Source organism: Homo sapiens, chromosome X (assembly GCF_000001405.40).
Source record: "Homo sapiens chromosome X, GRCh38.p14 Primary Assembly".
In the NCBI taxonomy this organism is placed as follows: Eukaryota; Metazoa; Chordata; class Mammalia; order Primates; family Hominidae; genus Homo; species Homo sapiens.
Window position 1 is genome coordinate 103792840 of NC_000023.11, and position 24764 is coordinate 103817603.

A 24764-nucleotide genomic window follows, 5' to 3' on the forward strand; every position below is an offset into this window, starting at 1 on the left:
TGTCTGAGCTTGTGTTAAAACGCAGATATTGAAACCAATTTATTGCCTACTTAAAGGTTTCTTTTCTCTTCGAAGTTGGGTTTCAGAATGTTCAGAGTCAACTATGGTTACTTTTTCAATACCTTAGTGGTGCCCCAGTCCCCGGTGCATTTAGATTTAAGTTATTGTTACCTTCTCTTTAAATTGTTTGGATATTCCAGTAATGATCCCTTAGTAATTCATACGTGACTAATATTTAGTTTTATTTGGATAGTACTGGATGGAAGGTTTAGTACTTAAAGGACAGAGCAGGTATGGAAAGGGCAACGTAAATGTAAACAGGCTGTGGCAGGGCAGTACTAAAATAAATTAGTGACACCTACCACCCTGGATGGCCAGCCTACTAGCCCACCGGGGACATAGCATTAAAGCCCTTTCACAACCCTAGGTTAGAATTTGGCACCCTTGGACAGCACTCTGATGACCAGCTTAAAGAAAGCTGTCTTAAAATCATTTCATTGCCCCATAGTTGCAGCTGGCAAATGACTGGAGAGAAAGGAATCTTTAGCTGGAGGGATGACAAGTCAGTCATCAGTTAAGGAGCTCCATTCAAAAGCAGTTTCAATTTAATTTCCTGATTTCTGCTTAACCACAATTAATATTCTGCAAGCGAGTCTGGTTGAACGACTTTAAGACATAAAGAATAAAAATATGACAGGGACTTATTTTAAGACACTGCAAACAAGGACACAGCACCATATTTTGGAGAATTGATTCAGGGTTCTACAGAGTGATTGTATTTTTGCCTCAGAGGAACCGAAAGCCAGTTCCCAAGAAAGCTATGTTTTCCATCTGCCCTTATTTGGCTCTGCCTCTGGGATGAATCTATAGATGGAGTTTCTAGGCTCTCAGAAGCTGAGAGCATCTCCAGTCTATCAATTGAACCCATTGTTCTTAGCTCTCCCACACACCATAAACCTCCTTTTTTCTAACTGAAAGAGCTCTCTTTGTGCTGAGATCAGCCGAAGATCAAGATGCAGCAGTATAAACAAGAAACATTTTCTTACAGCACCAGTTGTATTGCTTTTCCTATCTTCAGGGTCAGTACTGAGTGCAGTTATGCAGGACGTGGAAGCTGCAGCTTTGTCCAGAGCAACATTTGTTCATTCCTTAATTCGTTCTGTGAACATTCATTGAGAAACTACTAAGTATTGTGTTAAACCCCAGGAAGTTCAAGTTTGGGGGCAGTGTGGGTAGAAAGGTGATCAAGACCAGATCTTACACTCAAGGATCTCTCTCAGATTCAGCCATAGCAGACAGGTCTTCCACGGTAAACTGGAGTGGAGGCAAGGAGTGTGCAAAAGGCAGTCTGATCGGCTGACTCCAGTGGGCATCTGAATTCTCCCCTCAGTATGTGGGAGGGGTGGGTGTTAAGGGCCTTGACTTCACGTGGCTCTGGGTTTTTAGGGCATGGATACAAACAAAACTTCAATTTAGAGTCCTGACAACTTGTGACTTGCTCTTTCTGTGTCACCCTGCTTCTTGCCTTACATGTGACAGCATTTATGCACACACTGGCTCAATGCATGTGCGTGCTTCCACCCACTCAATCATTTGGGGAGTCAGAGGGCACATGAATCAAGATTGATATAAACACAAGCTATTCAGTCTGGCCTTTTGTCTCTATCCAGGCTAAGTCTGAGAAGCCAAGGAAGGGTAATGTAAGATATAACATATCAAAACTGCACTTGTATCCCCTAAATTTATACAACAACAACAAAAAAGATACCAAGTCCTTCTCTGTTTGGATTTCCTTAACTGTGAACACAGGTAGTGTGGCTATTTTGACATTAACAGTTAACTTCATGAATATTAAGTAACAAATAAAAGAAATACTCATTATTATATTTACGAAATCAATACTTGGCCATTCCTACATCAATAAGCAGGTAAGGACTTCAAGTCAATATTTATATATTGGGAAAGATTTTCCTCGTTCACTCACTTGTTTGAAAGACGCAAACATACTCTTCATTATATTTGTTGTCCCACAAAGTTTGGTGTCTATGTGCTCCTGTTCTGAGACTCCTTGAATTGATTGACTTTATTCTAAAGGAAAATATCAGATAAGGTAATGAGTGTTTTACTGATTATGGATCAGTCCAAAGAAATCCAGTCTTAACATTTTACTCAAACTCTCAAAAAATATTTATTTGATAAATTATCTGTGCCAAGTATTATGCAAAGTGTTTGTGGTATAGCAGTTAATAAAAGAGATACAGTCTCAGCCCTCATGGAGCTCAACTAAAGACAGAAAGGGGTAGGCAGGGAGACAGGGAGCATGGTGAAGAATGAGGCTAACATCCTTCCACAGAAACAGTGGAAAAGATAGAATCAGGGAGAAACTTGCACAGTCCCATGAGAAACAAAGAGTCATGTTAAAAAAAAAAAAGATATAGACATGTAAGTCTGTATTTAGATAAATGCAATGGTATTTAAGATTGAAAAACATTAAATAGGCTTGGACTGTTTTGCCCCCCAATGTGGAAAGTCACCCAGCTCTAGGTTCCAAAGGAACTAGCTTCATGGATCTTCTATATATTATGTGAAACCCTATCTTTCAAGCATCAAAGGGGCAAAATACAAAGCTGATTCTGAGGGTTACAATATTAAAACCAAACAAGCCAACTGATATCTGAAAGTGTATAGATGGTTTTAATTCTAGTTGATGATGAATTCACATGTAGACCAACTTTAAAAAACAACAGGGAAATGTGGCTCTTGCAATCAAAGCTTCCTTCCATGTCCCCAACATGTACCAGATAGAAATTTGGTGAAATCTCATTTGACTTAAAATATTAAATCAGCCCACATTATCCAAAAAAAAGTGAAGAGAAACATAAAAATTATCCTATATGCAGATGATATTATCACAAGTGAACAGAAACACACAAATTATCCTATACGCAGATGATATTATCACAAGCTCAGAGTGGTCTTAGCAAACAAATGGCTCAGCTAATTACTGCTAGGAAGAAAGTATACATATCAGCTTTCCTAAAAAAAAAATTTGTCATTTTCAGTAGATGTTCCTACCTTCCTGTTGGTGAATAGTGTGAATAATTCCATAAAGCAGGTACCTCAGGATATATTCTGCAGCTGGCTTATCTGAAAGGACAAAAGTAAATTACATTTCTCAAAGCCAGGTAATATATGGGTGCTTATGGAATTTCTGCACATGTGTTGTTGTTTGTTTGTCTTTAATAGCTTAGCGGGTTACAACTACTTTAAAATATTTCCAGGTTAAAAAATTTTAAGTCATGCTTTATGCCCTATTTGTCTTGGTGTTAAAGAAGATTCAAAATAATTGTCTGGGCAGGGCATGGTGGCTCATGCCTGTAATCCCAGCACTTTGGGAGGCCAAAGAGGGCATATCACTTGAGCTTGAGGTCAGGAGTTCAAGACCAGTCTGGCCAACATTGCAAAACTAAAAATACAAAAATTAGCCAGGCGTGGTGGTTCAAGCCTATAATTCCAGCTACTCAGGAGGCTGAGGAACAAGAATGCTTGAGCCTGGGAGGCAGAGGTTGCAGTGTGCCGAGATTGTGCCACTGCACTCCAGTCTGGGCAACAGAGGGAGACCCTGTCTCAGAAATAATAATAATAATAATTGCCTGAAGATAAACTTGGCCCGGACTGTAAGCAGCCTTGCCTCCAACAATAATAGCTGCACTTTATCAAGCACTGTATCTGCAAAGTACTTTACACATCTCATTTTATCCTCACATCAGTCTTATGAGGCAGAAGCAACTATTATCCTTCAGTTCCATGCTGGAGCATGTGGCCTTGTTGGTCACATCAGTTTACACATGAGCATGTTAATCCTATCCTAGCTCAGCTGACTGGCAAAGCTGCAGAGATTAGCTGAATCCCGGTATTTGTCAGGGAGCAGAACCACTATCATTGTAGCTCAGTATAGTGAACAAAAGTTCTCTGAAAAGGGGCCACAAAGCGAGACACCGCCTCTACAAAAAAAAAAAAAAAAAAAAAAAAAAAAAAGTACTCCAGCATGGTACCTAGTGCCTGTAGTCCCAACTACTCTGGAGGCTGAGGTGGGAGTATAGCTGTAGCCCCAGAGGCTGCGGGTGCAGTGAGCTGTGATTGCACCATTACACTCCGTCCTGGGCAACAGAGCGAGACCCTGTCTTGAATAAAAAATAAAACAAACAAAATTATTAAAAATAAAAAGGAATTTAGAGGAAAGAGACCTTTTTTTTTTTTTTTTTTGAAACAGGGTCTCACTCTGTTGCCCAGGCTATAGTGCAGTGGCACCGTCTCGGTTCACTACAGCCTTGACCTCCTGGGCTCAAGTGATCCTCTCACCTCAGCCTCCAGAGTAGCTGGGACTACAGGCGACTGCACCATGCTCAGTGCTAATTTAAAAAAAATTTTTTGTAGAGACGTGGTTTTGCCATGTTGCCCAGGCTGTCTCGAATTCCTGGCCCACCTCAGCCTCCCAAAGAGCTGGGATTACAGGCATGAGCCACTGCTCCCAGCCCCAAGGAAAGAGACTTTATTCCAGAGAACAGTTTGGACACCAGAGACACACAGCCTTAGGTGTAAAATGAAGGTGTGCTCCAGAGAGCAAAGCTAGGGTTATACTTTTACAGCAAAAGTTTATGCAAATGAAGTATTCAAACTCACCTAGTTCTGACTGGTTGATAGAACTGAGCCCTGATTGGTCAAGGCAACTGAGCCTGATTGGTTGAGGCAGCTAAGCCATGATTGGTCAAGGCAGATGATCTCAGATTGGTTGGTTCAGGTGAGCTCTGGAAGTCCCAAAGTTGAACAGAGGTGTGGGTTTTGGAGGAACTTGAGACCTCTGACCTATAGTTGGCAGATGGCCACTTGGCTCTATTTAAAATTTAGGCCCAGTTAGCCACTCAGGATCCATTTTGGAGCACTGCCTATTTCAGGTTCACATTTGTCATAGTACCTGCCAAAAACTCCATTGAGAGAAGCAGTGGTTAAGGGGGGATAACCTGAAGGAAGTGTACTCCATTCATTCCCCAGTCATCTCCAAATATTTTTTATTGTGCAATACTATGAGTAAAACATGTTGGAGCCCACATCCCCCCGCCATGACCTTGCTGCTCTAAGTGTGGTCTTAGAACAAGGAGCATCAGGATCACCCGGGAGCTAGTTAGAAATGCAGAATCTCAGCCTGATCTACACCCACTGAATCAGAAACTGCACTTTAACAAGATCCCAGGACGATTTGTATACATATTAAAATTTGAGCAGATTTGCTGTGTGTCATTATATAAAATGTACTGAAATATATATTAAACATATGCTTTAAATATTGACATTATATTCATGTACTGCTGTTCTAATATACACATTACAAAGCATGGAAAACAACATTTAAAAGTATAAGATAAATATGAAGTAATATTTTAAAATATGTTTTATTTGATAATATATACTTACACAATTTATATCTTATTTGAAACATGATATTATTAATATTTTAGTGAGAACAATGTGACTGAATATGCCTCATTAATTTTGAAATCATGGTTTAACATTTTAGAATACTGAGTTCAGTTTAAACTGCCCTTGGCTCGAATGGATGTTATAGCTGAAAATAATAACTTACAAAGATTCATAGATGTAAATGGATGCAGTATGACATTGGCAGTGTTCAATAAATTACGTTAAATTTTCAGCCTCACTTTGCAGTTATGCAAAGATTTTTGTTGAAATTTGACTATCAAATTTTCACTCTCCCTGCCATCATTTAGTGGCCCTTGCAAACTACAATTTTTTTTTTTTTTTTGAGATGGAGTCTCACTCTGTCACCCAGGCTGGAGTGTAGGGGTGCGATCTCGGCTCACTGCAACCTCCGCCTCCCAGGTTCAAACAATTCTCCTGCCTCAGTCTCCTGAGTAGCTAGGATTACAGGCATGCATCACCACACCCGGCTAATTTTTTATTTTTAGTAGAGACGGGGTTTCACCATGTTGGCCAGGCTGGTCTCAAACTCCCAATCTCGTGATTTGCCCGCCTCAGCCTCCCAAAGTGCTGGGATTACAAGCGTGAGCCACCGAGCCCGACCCAAACTAAAATATTTTTACAAATGAGTTCAAGCTATTAGAGTAGGTTGTTTTAGGCAAGTTAAACATGCCCTGTTACTTTAAATATATATATATATAATTTTATACTTTTAAGTGTTCTGTTTTTCATGCCTTATATGTGTATATTAGAACAGCAGTACATGAATATAATGTCAATATTTAAAGCATATGTTTAATATATATATTTTAATACATTTTATATAATTACACACAGCAAATCTGCTCAAATTTATATATATATATAGGGAAAAGAAGTGACACACATAGTTTTCAGCAGCAAAGTCACAAGCTGATGAAGGTATCTCCGCATATCTGTTTTCAAATTCTCTCTGTATGGCATATTTCCTTTGAAAGGCACTTACTTTCTCACTGATTGTTAAAAAGGCATATTTCCTTGACAAATCAGCAGAGTGAGAACACCAGAGTCAATCTTTTTAATATTTATTGATATTAGATATTAATAAAACTTTATTCTTATTTTAAGATTAAAAATTAGTACAAATACTAGTTCAAATGAATCATGTTGCAATCACCACAGAGTGCACACACATCTCACATTAGAGGTCATACTGTGTAGAAGTTTCTCCAAAACATTTTGAGGGTGGAAATCTCTTTCTAAGGTGATAAGTTTTTCAGGCCTCTACCATAACAGGTGGAGGGAATTACCCATTGGTTGAGAAAACATTTAAAATATACAACCAATTCAATAACGCTGTTTTAAAATTTTTTCTTACAGAAAATTTCAAACATACACAAAAGTAAAGAGAGTCCCTAAATGCAAAGAGCCTCATGCAACCATTACTCAGCTTCAGTAATGATCAATATTGAGTAACATTTTAAAATGAGTTTGTATTCTATTGATGTCCACACAGATGAAGACATATCATTCATTCATTTTACTGACAATCCTTGGTGTTCAGATGGATGCGGGGCGGGGGACTCCTTGCAGCAACACCTGCATTTTCTACTCTACCCCCAAGAGGACAGAGGACAAAGCTTGGGGATTGCTCTACTTTAGAGTCTAAAACATCTTCCTGATTTATGCCAGACCAATAGGTAGCAACATAATACTTGAATTGCTTCACAGTGGCCATCTTGGAATTATTTTTACTAAATTGCTCTGTTTTGTGATGTCAGTGACCTGTATTAAGGACCATTTTTTAAAAGCCGTCCTATGCAACAGTGGCTATGTTTACTATGGTCATGTTTTTGTGGGTGTCATTCATTATACTATATTTATCCAGAAGGCTACAGGGGACATATTTCTCTACAGTCTAGTATCAAAACTAGTTGTGCTTTATTTGAGTGTTGAAGTAAGAGCAGACTGTTATTATGATTCCTGATGTGTTTTGGATTTCTTTTGGTGGGGGTGGGGGGCAGAACACATTCATTGCTTTAGTAATTTAATCTTGCTGAGTTGTTGAAACCAAGTGAAGTTTCCAAAACCACCTCTTACTTTGTTGGGTTCTTTTTCTTTCTCTTTCCCCTCTCTTTTCTGTGGAAGTGTGAAAGGTGGTCAGAATTGAAAGAAGAAAGAAAACAGTTCTAGGTCTCTTCTTCCCTCACCCTCATTTCAAACTCTAGAATTCAGAAAACCGTAAAACACTGGACTTAGATGTGGTTTTGTCAGTAAGTTAATAGATGGATTCAAGTATGGTGAATTAACATCTTCTCTCAATCAGATCTGTATACTCCAGCCCTAATAAGAACTCTAAGCTCTTTACTCATTTTAATGTATCTGCGTGAGAGACCTTGTCTGGCAAAAACTTGGAGAAATAGGTATAAATTTGACTTGAAATGGCTCCATGTCAAAAGCTTTTACCTTCACAGGTAAGAAAGGCTTTTGATATCGTTCACTATCTTTTTTCCCCACAGTAAAAGCCTAGGGTAGCTCATTTCCAGGGCTGTTTTCAACATGCTGGGACAACTCCAATTGTTTCAAAGAGTATTAGGAAAATGATACAAATAAGACTTTAATGCAGTTCAATTTTAAATGCATATACCATACACCTTTAGGAAAAAAGAATGAGATAAACTAAAATAAAAGAAGTGATAGTTTTCAATTCTAAAGTATTTGGGGATTATTGCTTTAAAACAGGGTTACCAACAAGCATAGATCCATTGTAAGCTCTGCCTCATTCTCTCCCCTTCTGTCTTCCTGGGCTTACAGTGGAGTATGATGATGTCTCCAGGACTAGGTTTCCTGTTACCGTGGACACTCATGACCCCTCCTCCACAGTGTTCCAGCACCCCATTCTCCTAGTCTGAGTACCCACCTTGTTTACCATTTATAGTAGGGTTGTCCCCACTTCAGATCACTTTACACTTATTGCTCCAATCCCCTCCTAGGAGTGTGGCTCCTAGGCTCCTATCATTTGGTCCCACCACTTTCCCAGGTATACTGTTCCTGCCAAGTGGTGACAGGCCTCCTAAAGACCACGGCCTGATGTTCTCTAGGTTTGTTTGTCATTGGGCCTAGCATCTGCACTCTGTCCACCTTACTGAGTGTGAATAAATTATTGTTTCACCAGAAGATCCTGAGATCCTGGAACTGACAACCTGGGAATCTAACAATGGCAAACAATATGACTTTGATTATGTACCAGCATTGTTGTTTGTACTTTGCAGATATTAACTCATAAAAGCCTCATAACAGTCCAGAGATGAGCACTATTATTATCATCATTCTAATTTTAAAGATGAAGCAACTGAGGCACAGATAGGTTAACTGCGTTACCCAAAGTTACAGGCTGGTAAGTGGTAGAACTATGTTTTAAACTTAGGTAGTCACATTCCAGAGTCTCTTTACTTAACCACTGCTCTATGGTTCTCCCAGCACAGGGATACATCCTATCACAGGGGAGGAAGTCTTTAAAATGAAAGAAAACATTTTATATAACAAACTTTCCTGTTTGTTGTCCTGGGAGAGGGGCATGTCAAGGACAAAATGAGATTAATGAGAACAGAACACTGAGGGCCAGAACAGGCTAATCAGAACTTGGAACACCTAGTCTCTACCATGAGGGGAGTCAATGCCACTGTGCAACTTATGTAACCACTAAATACAGAACAAATTTTATCAAGAAATTAACAGTTAAAAAGTACATAATACATAAACACCAGTGGATAACTTACGAAGATACCAGCATGTTTAAGGACAATATTAAATGGATCGAAGTGGGTGCCTGAGGTGAGAGAGGAAAATAGGGGTAGGGATGATAGAAGAAGAAAGAGAGAGAGAGAGAGAAAGAGAGAGAGAGACAGAGAGAGAGAGAGAAAAAAAGGGAGAGAGACAGAGAGAGAGAGAGAGAGAGAGGCGGGGGTGAAGATAGAGAGAGAGGGACCTTGCCTGAAATGATAATGAAAATATACTAAGAACTCAGAAATACGATCAACTCAATTCTCAGCCACCTGAGGTTCAAATTAAACAAACAAATGATTGACCTGGAATGGCATCCTTTGCTCTTGAGGGCACTGATAATTTTTCTAGTTGGATACATAGAGTTTCTGATACATATTAAGGGTAAGCAGGACTACAGTTTAGGAAGTGGCTACATAGGAATGAACCTTGATGTAGCCTTTGCTTTACTGGGAAATGACTAGGTTATTCTTTGCCTCTGCTTTTCTTTGCAGTTACATGTGAAAATAAACTCATATCACCAGCTATCAGTGTATGATAGGTTACTTTTTTACAACTTTATGGTTATATAATTCATATACAATTGACCCATTTAAAGTGTGCAATCCAATGAGTTTTATTAATAGTATGCTCACAGAGTTGTGCAACTATGACCACAACCAATCTTAGAACATTTTCATCACCCCCAAATGAAGATCCATACCCACTAGCAATGTTTCCCTATTCTTTCACCCTCACACCCCCAACACTAGGCAATCACTAATCCACCTTCTGTCTCTGTGGATTTGTCTGTTCTGGGCAGTTCATATAAATAGCATCATATACTATGTGGTCTTTTGTGACTGGCTTACTTCCTTTAACATAATATTTTTGAGGTTCATTCATGTTGTAGCATGTATCAGTACTTTGTTCCATTTTATTGTCAAATAATATATATTTCAATTGCTGAATAATATATATTCGATTGCATGGGTATGACACATTTTGTTTATCTATTCTTCAGTTAATGAGCATTTGGGGTTTATCTGTTTCTTTGCTGTTATAATAGTGCTGCAACAAACATTCCTGTACAAGTTTTTGTGTGAACATATGTTTTCAATTCTAATGGATTTATGCCTAGGAGTAGAATTGCTGAGACATATGATAATTTTATGTTTAACTTTTTGAGGAACTGTCAGACTGTTTTCCATAGTGGCTGCAACATTCTACATTTCCAATAACAATGTATGAAGGTTGTAATTTCTCCACATCCTTGTCAACACTTGTTATTATCTGGCTTTTTAATTATAGCCATCCTACTGGGTATGAAGTGAAATCTCATTATGGTTTTGTTTTGCATTTCCCTGATGACTAATGATGTTAAACATCTTTTCATGTACTTATGGTCCATTTGTATATCTTTAGAGAAATGTCTATGAGATATTTTGCCAATTTTAAAATTATTTGTCTATTATTGTGTTATGAGTACTTTACATATTTTTATTTACTTATTTATTTTTGAGACTGAGTCTCGCTCTGTCGCCCAGGCTGGAGTGCAGTGGCATGATCTCAGCTCACTGCAGCCTCCGACTCCCTGGTTCAGGTAATTCTCCTGCCTCAGCTTCCTGAGTAGATGGGATTACATGCACATGCCATCAGGCCAGCTAATTTTTGTATTTTTAGTAGAGACGGAGTTTTACCATGTTGGCCAGGATGGCCTCCATCTCCTCATCTCGTGATCCACCCGCCTCAGACTCCCAAAGTGCTGGGATTACAGGCGTGAGCCACCGCGTTTGGCCTACTTTACATATTTTAGCTACCAGTTCCTTGTCAGATACATGATTTTCAAATATTTTCTCCCATTCTTTGTGTTGTCTTAACTTTCTTGATGGTGGCTTTGAAGCAAAAAAGTATTTAACTTAGATGAAGTCAAATTTATCTATTTTTTCTTTTGTCGCTCTTGTTTTTGCTATCATATCTAAGAAATCATTGCCTAATCTAAGGTCACACAGATTTTTACCTATGTTTTCTTCTAAGAGTTTTATAGTTTTAACACTTACCTTTACATCTATAATTCATTTTGAGTTAATTTTTGTTTATACTGTGAGGCAGGAGTCCAATTTCATTGTTTTCCATGTGGATATTCAGGCATCCCAGCACATTTGTTGAAAAGATTATTCTTTCCCCCATTAAATTATCCTGGCAGTCTTTTTGAAAATAGATTCATCATAAATGTAAGGGTTTATTTCTTGGTTCTCAATTCTATCCCATTGACCTATGTGTCTATTATTATGTCATTATTACACTGTCTTGATTACTGTAGTTTTGTAGTAAGTTTTGAAATCAACAAATGTGAGTCCTCCAACTTTATTCTTTTCCGAGTTTGTATTAGCTATTCTGAGCTCTTTGCACTTCCATATCAATTTCAACATCAATTTCAGCATCAGCTTGTCAGTTTTTGCAAACAAAACAAGACAAAACAAAACAGCTTGGATTTTGCCAGGGATTATATTGATTCTATAGATCAATTTGGGGAATATTGCCACCTTAACAATATTGAGCCTTTCAATTCATGAAAACAGAACACCTTTCCGTTTATTTAGGTCTTGTTTAACTTATTTCAATGAAGTTTTGTCATTTTCTGTGTACAACTCTTGCACTTTTTTGTCAATTTTTTTCTAAGTATTTTTGATGCTATTATAAATGAAATTATATTTTTAATTTTCTTTTTGGATTGCTTATTGCTAGTGTATAGAAATATGACTGATTTTTGTGTGTTGATCTTGTGTCCCGCTGAACTCATTTATTAGCTCTAATAGATTTTTGGGGCTTCTTTACAATTTTTTAATATATAAAATCACATCATCTGTGAATAGAGATTATCTTACATCTTCCTTTCCACTTTGGAGGCCTCTTGTATATTGCTTCTGCCTAATTGACCTGGTTAGAACTTCCATTACAATGTTAAATAAAAGTGGAAAGAGTGAACATCTTGTCTTTTTCTTGATCATAGAAGGAAAGCTTGCAGTCTTTCCCCATTAAGTAGAATGTTAACTGCAGATTTTTCATAAGTGCCCTTTATGAGGTTAAGGAAATTCCCTGTATTCCTAGTCTGTTGAGTGTTTTCTTTTATCAAGAAAGGGTGTTCAATTTTGTCATCTATTAAGATGATGATACATTTTTTACCCTTATTCTAATAATATGGTGTATTCTATTGACTGGCTTTCATATGTGAACCAGGTTTGCATTTCTGGGATAAGTCCTAGTTGGTCATGGTGTATGATCCTTTTTATATGTTGCCTGACTCAGTTTTCTACTACTTTATTGAGGATGTTTGCATCTATATTTGTGAAGGTTGTTGGTCTGTATTTTTCTTTTCTCGTTTTCTCTTTTACCTGGCTTTGGTATCAGGAGAGTAATGGTCTCATAGAATGAGTTGGGAAATGTTCCCTCTATTTTTGGAAGAATTTGTGAAGAACTGGTGTAAAAGCCTGGTGGAATTCACCAGTTAAGCTGTCTGGTCCTGGACTTTGTGGGAGGTTTTTCTCATTATTAATTTAATCTCTAAAATTTTCTGTTTCTTCTTCAGTCAGGCTTGGCAGTGTGTGCCTTTCTAGAAATGTGTTTATTTCATTTAAATTATTTAATTTGTTTACTAGGTTTTTTTAAAAATAATTTTCTTTATAATTAAAAAAATTCTTTAAGGTGATACTTTATTTCTGATTTTTGTAAGTCAACTCTTGTCTCTTTTCTTGGTAGGTCTAGCTAAATTTTGTTGATCTTTTCAAAGAACCAACTTTTGATTTTGTTGATTTTCTCTATTGCTTTTCTATTCTCTATTTCATTTGTTTACCTCTAATCTTTTTGTTTGATTGCTTTTGAGAAACAGGGTCTCACTCTGTCACCCAGGCTAGAGTACAATGGTGCAATCAGAGCTCACTGAAACCTTGAACTTCTGGACTCAAGTGATTTTTTCACCTTAGCCTCCCAAGTAGCTGGGATTACAAGTGTGACTCACTGCACCCAGCTCTAATCTTTGTTATTTACTTCTTTCTGCTTGCTTTGGATTTAGTTTACTCTTCTTTTCCTAGTTTTAAGATGAAAAGTTGGTTATTGATTTGAGATCTTTCTTCCTTTTAAATATAGGTACTTACAGATACAGTATAAATTTCCTCTAAGCACTGCTTTTCCTGTATCCGGTAAGTTTAGTCAGGTTGTAATTTCATTTTTATTCATCTCAAGGTATTTTCTAATTTTTCATGTGATTTATCCTTTTATCTATTGGTTATTTAGGTGGGTGTTAATTTCCACATATTTGTGAATTTCCCAAATTTCCTTCAGTTGTTGATTTCTAATTTCGTTGTACCATGATCAGAGAATATTCTTTAGATAATGTAAATCTTTTAAAGTTTATTGAGACTTTTGTTATGGCTTAACATATAATCTATCCTGGAGAATGTTCATTCTGCACTGGAGAAGAATATGTATACTGCTGTTTGGGGGTAGAGTTTTCTGTAGATGCCTGTTAGGTCTGGTTGGTATATAGTGTTATTCAAGTCCTTTCTTAGTTGTTTAGTTGCCTAGTTTTTCTACTCATTATTTCAAGTAAGATATTGAAGTCTTTAACTATTATTATTGTTGAATTGTCCATTTCTCCCTTCCATTCTATCAGCTTTTTGCATTATGTATTTTGAGGCTCTATTGTTAGGTGCATATATGGGATAGATTTTTGAAGGTTGTTCAACTTGTTTACCCAAGGTGATAAAAGAATGTACTCAGACCGCAGAAGAGATTTAACCAGATCTCTTCATGTTAGTCTCAAGGCTAAGATGGAAAAACATTGACTATTTGATAATATAGTTATGTGGGCCTTAGCAAATAAGTTCCTGAGGAAGGAAAAGTTAAAAGATGGGGCAGGGAGGGGGCGGTCCTCGTGGCCCAAAGCCTGCCTTATCTTCCACATGCCAGGACATAGGCTGTCACTAGATTCCATGCTGGTGGGAAGAGCAGCTCATGGTTGCATTTTACTCTTTGATGTTCCAAACACTCCTAAAACGAGATATTTTAAGAGAGAAATGAACAAATGAGAGTTTGCTTTGAAGTGCTCAGAAACCAAAGAATCATTCTAGACTCTTCCTTCATGAGTCATACCTAGTTCTGTCAGTCCTACCTTTTTCCTCTTATTATAACTGAAACCTGAATGATTGAAACAGCCTCATCTCTGCTCCTCCTACCCCTCTTCTAGCCCCAAGTCTGATCTATCTCCTCACTGCCGTCAGACTACTCTTTAAAAAGGCAATTCTGATCTCCAATCACTTTTCTGTTTAAAACTTTTTACTGAAAGCAAGCACAGTCAGTGATTTCTGTGGGGCTTTCCTCCTCTTCACCTCTCTCTACTGCTGTCACCCCAGCCCCCACTCCTCCCATAATAAGAAGCAGACCCTCCCTGCCTTTCCCACTGTCAAGGGACTCTTCTCTGAAAGAATAACATTCCCTGGGCTTCTTCACTGAATTATTCATCTTTGCTGCCTTGGTATGGCAAAACTTCTCATTAAAAGCCCTGGTTGGGAGTGACCTACTCAGCCCAGCCCTCACAACTAGACAGAGAGAAGCCAAGGGGAGGAAGAGATGCAGTGGCAGGGGTGGGAGGCTCCCCCAAAGGGCTGTGACAGGGAGTCCCCAAAACCCAGGGACTTGGGAAGCTGAATGGCACCTCTAGAGACTCATGGCCCTGGGGTGACCATGGTGCTCATCTGGGCTGTCATCTTTCTCCACAGCTGTGGTCAAACCCAGAGGCCTGTTTCCACCATTGATTCCCAGTCCTGGAATCTTCTGAGCACTGAGCAGTCATAGAAAATCCAGTCATGGGATGGAAGAGACCTCAGCTGTGTAAAATGGGACGAGTTATCCCTATTGTACCTTGAGTGACTGAGGCCATGTCAGGAGGAGAGCCAGAGTGGGGGAGAGAAGACTGCATTTCTAGTTCTAGCTCTGGTATTAACTGGCTGTGTGACCCCAGGGATATTGCCTGCCTTCTCTTTGAGTCTTTGTTTGCTAGTACACAGAAGGCAACACACATGCTGATGCCATGAAGACCATGGGCTCTGCTGCCAGGCTGCAGGCCTCTGTTTCTTCCAAGATATGTAACCTTGAAAAACCATTTAGCTTGACAAAGCCTTAGTCTCCTCATCTGTAAAATGGGGGCAACAACAGTACCTACCTCAGACGATTGTTGAAAATGCACATAAAGCACTCAGCACATGGCCTTAATAAACACCCAATAAATGTCAGCTACTGGTCTCTCATCAGAGAGCCTCGTTCTCCAGAACTTGGTTTGTTGAGCCGTAAACTGTCAGGTCTGTCTTTCTGGAAGGAATGTGACATTCTGGCCATATCGTCTCCCAGAAGAGGCTGTTTGCAGGTAGCCTGAGCCATCCCTTCAGAATATGTTTAGATCGATACACATCACACGTGATGCCATGCAAAGGCACATGACCCACCCCTCGTTTTCTCTGCACCCTTGAAAACACTGCCTTGGAGCCCAGTGCTCCTGAGCTTTAGAAGCCACCTTCTCATGATTCTGTACACAGCAGCTGTAAGAGAAACTCTGAGGGCCCACTCTCAGGGAGACAGGAAGGCTGGGGAGCCAGAGGCCAGGTGAGCTGGGGCCAGGGCAAGAGGGTCAGTAAGAAACAGGGCCCCCTTCCCCCTGGGCTTCGGGGATCCAGCTAACTGGCTGGAAATGCACCTTTGCCTGTGGCTTCTTGCCCAAGACCTGGCTAGCTTGGCTTTCCTGTTTGCTGTACATGTTGGGATTGACTTCATATTCTGCCTAGAGACTAGGACCCATGAAGAAGGGGCCCAGGCCCTTTCTTTGTCACCTTTCAAGCCTATTAATGGTTGTTATGGAATGAATGCTAGTGAAATTCATATGTTGAAGCTCTAACCCCTTATAGGATGGTATTTGGAGAAGGGGATCTTTGGGAGGTAATTAGGTTTAGATGAGGTCATGAGGGTGGGGTCCTCACAATGACATTGGTGTCCTTATAAGAAAAGGGAGAGACCAGAGCATGATTTCTCTCTCTCTGTCTCTCTCGCTCTCTCTCTGTTATGTGAGGAAACAATAAGATGGTGGCCATCTGCAAGCTAGTAAAAGGGCCCTCTGGAGAGCCTGACCATCCTAGTCTGGGATTTCCAGCCTCCAGAACTGTAAGAGATAAATTTCTTTCTTTCTTTCTTTTTTTATGGAGTTTTGCTCTTGTTGCCCAGGCTGGAGTGCAATGGCTCAATCTTGGCTCACCACAACCTCCGCCTCCTGGGTTCAAGCAATTCTCCTGCCTCAGCCTCCCGAGTAGCTGGGATTACAGGCATGGGCCACCACACCCGGCTAATTTTGTATTTTTAATAGAGACAGCATTTCTCCATGTTGGTCAGGCTGGTCTTGAACTCCTGACCTCAGGTGATCTGCCTGCCTTGGCCTCCCAAAGTGCTGGGATTACAGGCGTGACCCACCATGCTCGGCTTAATTTCTGTTGTTTTTAACCACCTAGCCTGTGATATTTTTTATTGCTGCCTGAGCTGACTAAGACAATGATGCTGCAAGAAACCTTGCCACCAGAGCAGCTAAGATGAACCCCCATGGAGCCACTGCCATGCAGCATGGTAGTTCAAGCTGGGGCAGGCACCAGTGCCTCCCATCCATTCTTTCAGGTATTCATTCTTTTTTTTTTTTTCTCAGAGGCAGGGTCTCTCTTTGTTGCCCAGGCTGAAGTCATACTCCTGGGATCAAATGATCCTCCCACCTCGACCTCCAAAGTAGCTGGGACTGCAAGTATGTGCCACTGTACCTGGCTTAATTAAAAAATCTTTAGCTGGCACCTACCCTATGCCTGGCCCTGCACTAGGTGCTGTAGGGTGCACAGTAGGCCCAGGCCTCAACTTTGTGGCGCTTAGTGGCTAGTAGGAAGGAGCCTTGCTGAAGAATCATACACATGGAAAGTGAGACACAATAGAATTTTTTAAACCCCAGGATATTGTGAACACCTATAAGACTGAGTAAGGGGCCAGGAAAGAACTCCAAGGGGGTGATGTTTAAGTCTGGACACCAAGAAAAAGAAGGCACCAGCTAGGCAAATAGTGAAGGGGAGATTGGTGCAGGTGGAGGGATGAAGTGAATTCCTGCTTCCCAGGCAGGGCATTTCCAAACTCTTTTGTCTTAGCAGAGTGTGGCTTTTTGAGGTCTGGATGCCTGTTGGCTTCTACTGCCCTAACAAACTCTCTGACTACTGCCATCTGGGCTTTGCATCAGAGTCACCAGAAAAACTTGATAAGATGCAGATGCCTGGGCTGCACCACCCTTTGAGACTTTAAGCAGGTCATGGTGGGGTCCAGGAATCTGCATTTTAACAAAGCCCCCAGGTGGATCTGCTACAAGTAGTCTGCTGTTCTGTGAATGCTTCTTTGAAGGCACTGGCAGGATAAAGTCTAAATGCCATGGCATAACCTGCGTGACTCTTCAGCTTTTCCTGTCTATTGTTATAGCTGTCTCGCTAGTCACCTTCCTCTAGGCTTCTCATGCCCACTCCCACCACACCTATCCTCCACAACATGAGTAATCATTCTCTAACCCAAACCTAAGCTTCCTACCCCTTTGCTTAGAACACCTTCTTTTATTCCTTTTTCCTTTCACAATAGATCCCCATTTCTTAACATGGTATCAATCATGCTTCTGCCACTTCCCATTTACTCTCTTCACCTTCATACCTCAAACAGTACCTGACGCTGGGAAGACATTGAACAGATATTTATTTAATTGCTACAGTAATGGGACTTAAATATGTCATATTTCACTGAAAAACCTGGGGATATTTCAAGTTATAAAAATCATGTCCAGGAGGGAAAGAACTGTCTTTAGTTATCGGAAGTCCTGTGTCATGTGGAATCCTTGTTTTGAGTGGCCCTAGGACCAAGGAGTGGAAGTCATAAGAAGTCAGAATTTACTCAATATAAGGGATCATGTGCCATTTTTGCAAGATATAATGATCTGCTTCAAAAAATGGTAAGTTTTCTGTCTCCTGAGGTATTCTAGCATTGACTCTGTGGCAGGCATTTGGTGAAAATACTCAAGCATTGGGTGAAAATACTCAAGCATTGGGTGGAATTTGGACAAAACAACCTACTAGTGAAATCACAGGATTCTATGAGGAAGTAAAAGTGAAGAGGGGAAGAAAATAATCTCTCCATTCCAGGGAAATAGAATATTGTGGTTAATTATCATGTCACTATGCAACATGCATGAAATGCTTATTCTCCATACCATAAAATAGACCTAATAATAATAACCCTTAGTTTTTCTTTGATGATCCAGAAATTAATTTGGGCTCTTGCAATGTCTAGGGGTTCCCGTTATAAACATTAATTTTTATTATAATAGTGACATGTGGAAATGCCAGTTAAAATCTCTGCCAGAATGTCAAATAAACATGCTTTATTACTGTAACTAAAGAAATATTCTAGAAAAAAAATTTAAAAATGTATCATGCAGAGACACAATAGCTTTCCAACTCAATTTAGTATATACAAAAAAATTACCTTAGGACAAAGAGCCATGCCATCACAATCTAAAGAATAACACTACAGATTAGAAGACTCATTTGGCTGAAATACAGCTAATAACAAAAGCTAATGACTTAGTCTTCTTAGGTGGCTATAAAAATACCATAGACGGGATGGCTTAACAACAGAAATTTATTTCTCATAGTTCTGAAGGCTGGGAAAGAGCCTTCAAGATCAAGGTCTTGGCAGATTCAGTGTCTGGTGGGGCCCCCTTCCTGGTTTACAGATAGCTACCCTCTTCTTGTATCCTCAAAGCAGAAAAAGAGAGAGAAAGAGAGGTCTCCTCTCTTTCTCTCTCTCTCTCTTTTATGGAAAGCGGGGGCAAGGAGTTTCTCTCTGTCACCCAGGCTGGAGTGCAGTGGCATGAACATGACTCATTGCAGCCTGGACCTCCTAGGCTCAAGCAATCCTCCTGCTTCAGCCTTTGAAGTAGCTGGGAAAACAGGTATGTGCCACCATACCCTCTTTCTCTTCTTATAAGGGCACGAATCCCATTATGAAGGCTCCACTCTCACGAATTAATAGCTAACTGTAATTACCTCCTAAAGACTCCACCACCAAATACCATCACATGGAAGATTAAGTTTTTAACATATTAATTAGGGAGATATATTCAGCCAATAGCAACCAAAAACTGCTGCATAGTTGTCAATTAAACACCAATTTCCACAGTTCATTGCCAATAGCTATTTTTCTTATTTTATCTCTACATGAAAGAAACAAGGAGAGTGTGGGACTGAGTAGTAGGATCTTGGTGATCCTCCCTGTCAAGTACCTCTTTCTTTGTTCTATTTAGTATGGACACTTAGATTGTATCATTTAGGTAATTTTAAATCAGACTTTTAAAGACTTGGGTCACTAACGAAAACCAACAACTCTGATTTTAACAACAATTTTCTGTAGCTTTTGTTTATTCAGTAAGTCAGAGACTATTGTGGAGGCACAACTTCTCAGTAGTTCCTAGGGTTACTTCCTTTTGGGAGGAGCAACAAGGATATGACAGACTCTGGGAAAATTTCTTCCAGGCCAGAGCTGCTTGCTACTGTTTGCTTCTGCCCCTTCCACTGTCTGATGCCTAAACCCTGCTTTGCTTAAAACCAAACCTTTCCTTTTTTTGCATCTCAGGTTTCATTACTTCCCCATCCCTAACTCTCTGTGTCCTCCAAACTACAGTGTTAAAACCATAGCCCCAGATTGCCTTTAGCAATTTGCTTAACTTCTCGGTTCCTGAGTTTTTTTTTTTTTTAATTTTTAAATTTTTTTTTTTTGAGGCAGAATATTGCTCTGTCACCCAGGCTGGAGTGCAGTGGTGTGATACACCTCCTGGGTTCAAGTGTTTATTGTGCTTCAGCCTCCTGAGTAGCTGAGATTACAGGACATGCCACCACGCCTGGCTAATTTTTGTATTTTTAGTAGAGACGGGGTTTCACCGTGTTGGCCAGGATGGTCTCGATCTCCTCATCTTGTGATCTGCCTGCCTTGGCCTCCCAAAGTGCTGGGATTATAAGCTTGAGCCAGCACGTCCAGCATCAGTTTTATTGTCTATAAAAAGAAGGGATTGGATCTAAGCATCTTAGAGTCTGTTCCAACATTTGACCTAAAATGGCACACATATCACCATATTTTCTGCACCTCACCCCTAAACTGGACTCAACCTTCCTTTTTTAGAATTTTTCTAAAAAACCTGTTTGTTTTAAAGAGACCTTTTTGCATCTATTAAATACTGCAATCTGTCGCCAATGATATCACAAGAACTGTTTGTTTTTGTTTTTGTTTGTTCGTTTGTTTTTGAGACAGAGTCTTGCTCTGTCTCTAGGCTGGAGGGCAGTGGCGTGATCTTGGCTCACTGCAACCTCCGTCTTATTCACACATAACACTATTAACCTTAAATGTAAATGGGCTAAATGCCCCAATTAAAAGACGACGACTGGCAAATTGGATAAAGAGTCAAGATCCATCAGTGTGCTGTATTCAGGAGACCCATCTCATGTGCAAAGGCAAACGTAAGCTCAAAATAAAGGGATGGAGGAAGATCTACCATGCAAATGGAAAGCAAAAAAAAAAAAAAAAAAAAAAAAAAGCAGGAGTGGCAATCCTGGTCTCTGAGAAAACAGACTTTAAACCAACAAAGATCAAAAGAGACAAATAAGGCCATTACATAATGGTAAAGGGATCAATTCAACAAGAAGAGCTAACTATCCTAAATATATATGCACCCAATACAGGAGCACCCTGATTCATAAAGCAAGTTCTAAGTGACCTACAAAGATATTTAGACTCCCACACAATAATAATGGGAGACTTTAACACCTCATTGTCAATATTAGACAGATCAATGAGACAGAAAATTAACAAGGATATTCAGGACTTGAACTCAGCTCTGGACCAAGCAGACCTAATAGACATCTACAGAACTCTCCACCCCAAATCAACAGAATATACATTCTTCTCAGCACCACATCACACTTATTCTAAAATTGACCACATAATTGGAAGTAAAAGACTCCTTAGCAAATGTAAAAGAACAGAAATTACAACAAACTGTCTCTCAGACCACAGTGCAATCAAATTAGAACTCAGGATTAAGAATCTCACTCAAAACCGCACAACTACATGGAAACTGAACAACCTGCTCCTGAATGACTACTGGGTAAATAACGAAATGAAAGCAGAGATAAAGATGTTCTTTGAAACCAATGAGAACAAAGGCACAACATACCAGAATCTCCTGGACACATTTAAAGCAGGGTTTAGAGGGAAATTTATAGCACTAAATGTCCACAAGAGAAAGCAGGAGAGATCTAAAATCGACACCCTAACATCACAATTTAAAGAACTAGAAAAGGAAGAGCAAACAAATTCAAAAGCTAGCAGAAGACAAGAAGTAACTAAGATCAGATCAGAACTGAAGGAGATAGAGACACAAAAAACCCTTAAAAAAATCAATGAATCCAGGAGGTGTTTTTTTGAAAAGACCAACAAAATAGGTAGACTGCTAGCAAGATTAATAAAGAAGAAAAGAGAGAAGAATCAAATACACGCAATAAAAAATGATAAATGGGATATCACCCCTGATCCCACAGAAATACAAACTACCATCAGAGAATACTATAACACCTCTATGCAAATTAACTAGAAAATCTAGAAGAAATGGATAAATTCCTGGACACATACACCCTCCCAAGACAAACCACAAAGAAGTTGAATCTCTGAATAGACCAATAACAGGTTCTGAAATTGAGACAATAATTAATAGCCTACCAACCAAAAAAAAGTCCAGGACTAGATGGATTCACAGCCGAATTCTACCAGAGGTACAAAGGGGAGATGGCACCATTCCTTCTGAAACTATTACAAACAATAGAAAAAGAGGGAATCCTCCCTAACTCATTTTATGAGACCAGCATCATCCTGATACCAAAGCCTGGCAGAGACAGACACAACAAAAAAAGAGAATTTTAGGCCAGTATCCCTGATGAACATCGATGTGAAAATCCTCAACAAAATACTGGCAAACCGAGTCCAGCAGCACATCAAAAACCTTATCCTCTGCAATCAAGTTGGCTTCATCCCTGGGATGCAAGGCTGGTTCAACATACACATATCAATAAAGGTAATCCATCACATAAACAGAACCAATGATAAAAACCACATGATTATATCCATAGATGCAGAAAAGTCCTTTGACAAAATTCAACAGCATTTCATGCTAAAAACTCTCAATATCGATGGAACGTATCCCAAAATAATAAGAGCTATTTATGACAAACCCACAGCCAATATCATACTGAATGGGCAAAAACAGGAAGCATTCCCTTGGAAAACTGGCACAAGACAAGGATGCCCTCTCTCACCACTCCTATTCAACATAGTATTAGAAGTTCTGGCCAGGGCAATCAGGCAAGAAAAAGCAATACAGGGTATTCAAATAGGAAGAGAGGAAGTCAAATTGTCTCTGTTTGCAGATGCCATGATTGTATATTTAGAAAACACCATTGTCTCAGCCCAAAATCTTCTCAAGCTGATGAGCAACTTCAGCAAAGTCTAAGGATACAAAATCAATGTGCAAAAATCACAAGCATTCCTATACACCAATAACAGACAAACAGAGAGCCAAACTATGAGTGAACTCCCATTCACCATTGCTACAAAGAGAATAAAGTGCCTAGGAATACAACTTACACAGGATGTGAAGGACCCCTTCAAGAACTACAAACCACTGCTCAAGGAAATAAGAGAGGACACAAACAAATGGAAAAACATTCCACGCACATGGATATGAAGAATCAATATCATGAAAATGGTCTTACCGCCCAAAGTAATTTATAGATTCGATGCTATCCCCATCAAGCTATCAATGACTTTCTTCACAGAGTTGGAAAAAACTACTTTATACTTCATATGGAACCAAAAAAGAGCTCGCATAGCCAAGACAATCCTGGGCAAGACGAACAAAGCTGCAGGCATCAAGCTACCTGACTTCAAACTTTACTACAAGACTACAGTAACCAAAACAGCATGGTACCGGTACCAAAACAGATATATAGACCAATGGAACAGAACAGAGGTCTCAGAAATAACACCACACATCTACCACCATCTGATCTTTGGCAAACCTGACAAAAATAAGAAATGGGGAAAGGATTCCCTATTTAATAAATGGTGCTGGGAAAACTGGCTAGCCATATGTGGAAAGCTGAAACTAGACCCCTTCCTTACACCTTATACAAAAATTAATTCAAGATGGATTAAAGTCTTAAACGTAAGACCTAGGACCATAAACATCCTAGAAAAAAACCTGAGCAATACCATTCAGGACATAGGCATGGGCAAAGACTTCAAGTCTAAAACACCAAAAGCAATGGCAACAAAAGCCAAAATTGACAAATGGGATCTAATTAAACTAAAGAGCTTCTGCACAGAAAAATAAACTATTATCAGAGTGAACAGGCAACCTACAGAATGGGAGAAAATTTTTGCAATCTATCCATCTGACAAAGGGCTAATATCCAGAATCTATACAGAATTTAAACAAATTTACAAGAAAAAATCAAACAACCCCATCAAAAAGTGGGTGAAGGATATGAACAGACACTTCTCAAAAGAAGACATTTATTCAGCCAACATACATATAAAAATGCTCATCATCACTGGTCATTAGAGAAATGCAAATCAAAACCACAATGAGATACCTTCTCAAGCCAGTTAGAATGGCAATCATTACAAAGTTAGGAAACAACAGATGCTGGAAAGGTTGTGGAAAAATAGAAACGCTTTTACACTGTTGGTGGGAGTATAAATTAGTTCAACCATTGTGGAAGATGGTGTGGCAATTCCTCAAGGATCTAGAACTAGAAATACCTTTTGACCCAGCAATTCTATTACAGGACATGTACCCAAAGGATTATAAATCATTCTGTTATAAAGACACATGTACACGTATGATTATTGTGGCACTATTCACAGTAGAAAAGACTTGGAACCAACCCAAATGTCCATCAATGATAGACTGGATTAAGAAGATGTGGCACATATACACCATGGAATACTATGCAGCCATGAAAAAGGATGAGTTTGTGTCCTCTTGTGGGACATGGATGAAGCTGGAAACTATCATTCTCAGCAAACTATCACAAGATCAGAAAACCAAACGCCGCATGTTCTTACTCATAAGTGGGAGTCGAACAATAAGAACACGTGGACACAGGGAGGGGAACATCACACACTGTGGCCTGTCAAGGGTTGGGGGCTAGGGGAGGGATAACATTAGGAGAACTACCTAATGTAGGTGATGGGATGAAGGGTGCAGCAAACCACCATGGCACGTGTATACCTATGTTACAAATGTGCACGTTCTGCACATGTAACCCAGAAATTAAAGTATACATATAATATATATATATACTCTCTCT

General features: G+C 39.4%; 1 protein-coding gene across 2 annotated transcripts in view, besides 1 other annotated feature; it reads right to left on the minus strand.

Annotated features, from left to right (window-relative positions):
* Nucleotides 1–24764, minus strand: part of RAB9B (RAB9B, member RAS oncogene family) — a 55934-nt gene that overhangs the window by 16516 nt on the left and 14654 nt on the right. The window contains exons 2-5 of one of the 2 annotated variants that reach the window (NR_146560.2): nt 3076–3147; nt 1985–2088; nt 1262–1434; nt 1047–1159 (exon numbers count right to left, since the gene is read on the minus strand). The gene's annotated coding sequence lies outside the window, so the exon portion shown is untranslated. The remainder of the gene's footprint in view (nt 1–1046; nt 1160–1261; nt 1435–1984; nt 2089–3075; nt 3148–24764) is intronic. The other variant, NR_146558.2, reaches the window with a different exon arrangement.
* Nucleotides 13938–15137: an enhancer, noted in NCBI's record as "CDK7 strongly-dependent group 2 enhancer chrX:103061708-103062907 (GRCh37/hg19 assembly coordinates)". NCBI's record gives its function as "activates an origin of replication core promoter dependent on BRD2, BRD4, P300/CBP, MED14 and CDK7 cofactors, with strong dependence on CDK7, by STARR-seq in HCT116 cells {active_cell/tissue: HCT116}" and the evidence as "EXISTENCE:reporter gene assay evidence [ECO:0000049][PMID:35650434]".